This window comes from Homo sapiens, chromosome X, assembly GCF_000001405.40.
Source record: "Homo sapiens chromosome X, GRCh38.p14 Primary Assembly".
NCBI lineage: Eukaryota > Metazoa > Chordata > Mammalia > Primates > Hominidae > Homo > Homo sapiens.
In genome coordinates, this window is record NC_000023.11 from 135,747,383 (window position 1) to 135,753,382 (window position 6,000).

At 45.2% G+C, this 6,000-nt stretch overlaps 1 pseudogene; it reads left to right on the forward strand.

The window, feature by feature from the left end:
- On the forward strand, positions 4,805–5,402 carry MGAT2P2 (MGAT2 pseudogene 2; annotated as a pseudogene).

Sequence of the window (6,000 nt, forward strand, 5' to 3'; positions counted from 1 at the left end):
GGTCCCCTGGTCCCACTTTCCTTCTCAAACTTTTTCTCAATCCTTTGACTCTGCCAGACTTCATCGCCCCCATGACCTGGTGCTGGGTCTGATCACCCCAACAGTTTGCAGTAGTAAAATGAGCACTGGTAGTGCACAGTAAGAAATAGCAAAAGAATTATTCGAATTTACACCTTTAGAGTCCTATAATTAAGTGTAGGGACCAGCCCCACAGGGTCGGTGGGTTTCTCCCCATGTGTGGAGACGAGAGAGTGTAGAAATAAAGACACAAGACAAAGAGATAAAAGAAAAGGCAGCTGGGCCTGGGGGACCACTACTACCAAGACGCAGAGACCAGTAGTGGCCCCGAATGCCAGGCTGCACTGATATTTCTTGGATACAAGACAAAGGGGCAAGATAAGGAGAGTCAGCCATCTCCAATGATAGGTAAGGCCATGTGGGTCACGTGTCCACTGGACAGGGGGCCCTTCCCTGCCTGGCAGCTGAGGCAGAGAGAGAGAGGAGACAGAGAGAGAGAGACAGCTTATGCCATTATTTTTGCTTATTAGAGACTTTTAGTACTTTCACTAATTTTGCTACTACTATCTAAAAGGCAGAGCCAGGTGTACAGGATGGAACATGAAGGCAGACAAGGAGCGTGACCATTGAAGCACAGCATCACAGGGAGACGGTTAGGCCTCCGGACAACTGTGGGCAAGCCTGACTAATGTCAGGCCCTCCACAAGAGGTGGAGGAGTAGAGTCTTCTCCAAACTCCCCCGGGGAAAGGGAGACTCCCCTTTCCCAGTCTGCTAAGTAGTGGTTGTTTTTCCTTGACACTTATGCTACCACTAGACCACGGTCCGCTTGGCAATGGGCGTTTTCCCAGACACTGGCGTTACCGCTAGACCAAGGAACACTCTGGTGGCCCTGTCCGGGCATAACAGAAGGCTCGCACTCTTGTCTTCTGGTCACTTCTCACTATGTCTCCTCAGCTCCTATCTCTGTATGGCCTGGTTTTTCCTAGGTTATGATTATAGAGTGAGGATTATTATAATATTGGAATAAAGAGTAATTGCTACAAACTAATGATTAATGATATTCATATATAATAATATCTAAGATCTATATCTGGTATAACTATTCTTATTTTATATTTTATTCTACTGGAACTGCTCGTGTCCTCACTCTCTTGCCTCGGCACCTGGGTGGCTTGCCGCCCACAATCAAGTGCCTATAAAAGACAAGTCCCTGGGTGACTAACTGTAAATTTTTTGTCTGGTCTCTAACTCCTGGGCTCCAGCAATACTCCTGCCTCAGCCTCCCAAAGTGCTGGAATTACAGGCATGAGCCACCGGCCCTGACCTGGTTGGCTTTCTTGTGCTTTGATATCTTAGAATGGTTTGGTCAAAATAAGGAGTATTGAGTGGTTGATTTGTTGTTTCTAATGTACTGTAGAACATGAAGAAAGAAGTCGTTAAAGTTCTTGCTCAAGGTGTGAAGGAAGGACCTGATAACATCTATGACTGGCCTGAAAGAAACTGTCATCTCCTATAGCAACCAGGCCAAGATTTGGGAAAATGAAATCCAAAGTCTACTCCTGTCAGTGGCTGAATTACAGCACAAATTGAATTCACAACCTCAAAAGGGTCTCTTCTGCTAATGTTAGGGCACTAATAGGGAGAAATCAGATACTGAAAACTGGAATGGAAACGTATAGGTTTATGCCAATGAATCTGGGCACTTAGAACTGTGTTTTAGTCAGTTAGGGCTGCTATAATAAAATACCATATACTAGGTAGCTTACAAACAACAGAAATTGTATTTCTCACATTTCTAGAGGCTGTAAGTCTGAGATCAAGGTGCCAGCATGGTCAGGTTCTGGTGAGGGCCCTCTTCCATGTTGCCAGGGCACAGAGAGCTCTCTGGGGTCCCTTTTATATGGACAATATTCCCATTTATTAGGGCTCCACTTTCATGACCTTCCAATGGCTCCACCTCCTAATAACATCACAATAGGAGTTAGGATTTCAATAAATGAATGTGGCGGGGGACACAAACATTCGGTCCATTGCAAATCCCTAAATTCTCCGGGTGTCTTTGTCAATAGAAGCAGCCCTCCCACTCCTCCTGCCCGAGGTTCCCCTTTACCCGAAGAGCTGTGAGGGTCTCACCTGAGATCGTTGCCTTGAAGGGCACCGCTGCTCCTCCTCTGAAACTAACACCAGCACCCCTCATTGCTTCTTAACCTGCACTTAAATTCAAGTTCCTGCTGGCCAAAACAGTGAGTTAAACACTGAGCCCTGTCAAGAGGTGTGATAGTCACCGAAACAACTGTATGATTTTTCCAATATAGTAGTCTCTGGTAAATGTGTGAGAGTAGTTCTTAAGGCTGGGGTATGAAGGTGTACAAAATATAATATTGGATCTGGCTTCAAATATTTGTGTGCAAGTTTTGCTGTGGATATATGCTTGTATTTCTCTTGGATATTTAGCTAGAAGTGGAATTTGCAGGTTGTTCAATAACTTTATTATCAATTCTGTGAAGAAATGCCAGACTATTTTTCAAAGATGCTGCATCATTTTACATTCCCAGCAGCAATGGTGGAGGGTTCCAATTTCTCCTCTATAACACTTGTTAATTACTTGTTAATATTCATCCCAGTGAGGTGAGGTAGTATCTCCTTGTGGATTTGATTTCCATTTCCTTAATGTCTGAGGACATTGATGATCTATTCCTGTGTTTAAGGTTGTAGAAATGAGGTCCTGGTTTCTTTACTGGGTGACAGCCAGGGACTACTCTCAGCTCCTAGGCCCTCCAGCATAGCTTCGTTGTGTACTCCTACATCTTCAAAACAGTAAAGCCCAATCAAATCCCTCTTGTCCTTTGACTATCTTGTACTTCTGTTTCTGCTCTCTGGTGAAGAAATCTGTCGACTTTTATGTGTTTTTATTGGGGTGGGTGGGGGGGCATCAGTGGTGTTGTTCATTTGTTTGTTTGTTTGTTAGACAGGGTCTCGCTCTGTCTCCCAGGCTGGAGTGCAGTGATGTGATCATGGCTCACTGCAGCCTCAAATTGCTGGGTTCAAATGATCCTCTCGCCTCAGCCTCCCAAGTAGCTGGGACTATAGGCACGCACCACCACGCCCACCTAATTTAAAAAAACAATTGTGTTTGGAGACAGGGGTTTCACTATGCTGGCCAGGCTGGTCTCGAACTCCTGGACTCAAGTGGTCTGCCCACCTCACCCTCCCAAAGCACTGGGATTACAGGCGTGAAACACCACGCCCATCTCTGTCTGCTTTTAAAGGACTCAATTGAGTGTGGCAGGCCCATCCACAGGGACACCTCAGGGATAACTGAGATATGGAGTTTATGCCATCTGCAAAAGCCCACCCCAGCCAGTCACTGCTGGAGTGGGCAGAGGCTGCTTGGCTGGGTCCTGCAGGCCCCTGGCCACTGATGGATGAGTGTGCCCAGGAGGCAAGTCCGCTGGCAGCACAGGGAACAAAGAGGGCTGGGGTGGGGCTCAGGCAGGGCTTCTCCCAGGACAGACCTGGATGCTGAACTGGGAGGACCGAGGTGACACTGAGCCCTGGCAGCTCCTAGTCTGATGAGCTGCAGCTGCCAGGCGAGGATGCGGAGCCCCGGCAGTGCAGGGCAGCTGAGAGCCTATGGGCAGGCACCCCAGGACCCAAGATGAGGGCAGCTGCCAGAGCCAGCTCCAACTGCTACAGTCCAAGGCCACCACTGTGAGGCTGTCCGGTTCTACCAATGTTCTCTCCTTTCAGCATTTGTTGGTACCCCAATGAGTTTCCCCGTAATAACCCCAGACATTGCCTCAGGTACCTGAAGAAGAATGCAGCTTTGAAGATGGGGTGCTTAATCCCAAGAATCCCCACCCATTTGGCCACATCAAATGACTTTGGTATTGTAATTTGCATTTTGTATGCGAAAGGTTCAAAATACTTCAGGGGTAGGCTGGTGTTCGATTTTTGCTAGAGAACAACCACTACTTTACCCCAGACTTTTACCATGTCTTCAAAAAGATGTAGCTATCAGAGTGGCAAGAGTGCCCTGGGTGTGATGTTCTCTTTCCAGGGACTTACATTGCCAGCTGCAGTTTCTACAGCACTGCTGATGAAGTGCATATAAAAACTTGGAAAAGAAAGGAAACTAGTATATGGAAGAGGTATCTGCACTCCCATGTTTGTTGCAGCACCATTCACAATAGCTAAGATTTGGAAGCAACCTAAGTGTCCTCCAGCAGATGAATGGATAAAGAAAATGTGGTACATATACACAGTGAAGTACTATTCAGCCATAAAAAAGAATGAGATCTCATCATTTTCAACAACATGGGTGGAACTGGAGGTCATTATGTTAAGTGAAATAAGCCAGGCAAAGAAAGACAAACTTCACATGTTCTCACTCCTTTGTGGGAGCTAAAAATTAAAACCACCGAACTCATGGAGATAGAGAGTAGAAGGATGGTTACCAGAGGCAGGGAAGAGTAGTGGGGGTGTCGGGGGAAGCGGGGATGGCTCGTGGGTACAAAAATATAGTTAGGTAGAATGAGTAAGATGTAGCATTTGATAGCACAACAGGGTGACTAGAGTCAATAATTTATTATAAATTTTAAAATCACTAAAAGAGTATAATTGGATTGTTTGTAACACAAAGGAAGGATAAATGGTTGCGGTGATGGAGACTATTTACCCTGATGTGATTATTATACATTGTATGCCTTATCAAAATATCTCATGTAATCCATAAATATATACACCCACTAGGTACTGACAAAAATGAAAAATGAAAAAAGACCCTGGAAATCCACAGAGCATGATATGGGTCTAGCCTTCACCTGGGATGGCAATTAGACACTGATTGAATGCACAGACATTTTCTCTTCTGATGGTGATTATAACTGGGACTGGACTCTTCAATATTTGTATCTTGGCTTCCAAAATTCTGGAAAGCACTAGTTCCTCAAGTTCCTAGGGTTATTCATTCTGGAGACTCTAGTATACTCTGCAAGAAAACCTGTAGGCCATCCACCGGAATGCCCAAATGGAGTCACTCTTAAATAACAAGCCCTGCATGTTTCCAAAACCTCTAATTATCAGTGAAAAGTTTACTACGGCAGCCATTTCGCCACCCAGGGCAATTGGAGAATGGCAGACACTAGGGACCATTAATTCTGTAAAAGCTGTAGAAGACTGCAGTAAAGAATCACAGTTACAGAACCAAAAGTGACAGTCTTCTATTTTGGATGTTTGTACAAAGAGGATATACAATTAATAAAGTGGTCGAGGAACAGTTTTCTGCTTTAACACCAAAAACTAACATAGAAACCTGTAAAGGTGTCCAAGTATAGTAATCCTTTTCATGTATATCTGGTTAAGATTTAAAACTGAAGCTTTCTTTTTTAACCTTTTTAAAATTATAGATGCAAGACGGGTACATGTACAAGTTTCTCACTTGGATATAATTGCATAATTCCGGGGTTTGGGCTTCTAGTGAACCCATCTCCCAAATAGTGAAGAGAGTATCCAATAGGTAGTTTTTCAACCCTCCAACCCGCTCCCTCCCTCCCCTCCACTTCCCTTTTGGAGTCCTCAGAGTCAATGGTTTCTACCTTTATGTTCATGTGTACCCATTGTTTAGCTCCCACATATGAATGAGAACACGCAGTATCTCATTTTCTGATTATCTGATTTTGTTTCTGCGTTTCACTTAAAAGTGAAGTTTTCGCTGGACACAGTGGCTCACGCCTGTAATCCCAGGATTTGGGAGGCAGAAGCGGGTGGATCGCTTGAGGTCAGGAGTTCCAGATAAGGCTGGCCAACATGGCGAAACCACAGCTCCACCAAAAATACAAAAAATAGCCGGGGCCTGGCGCGGTGGCTCGCGCTTGTAATCCCAGCACTTTGGGAGTCTGAGGTGGGCAGATCACTCGAGGTCAGGAGTTTGAGACTAGCCTAGCCAACATGGTGAAACCCTGTCTCTACTAAGAAATGCA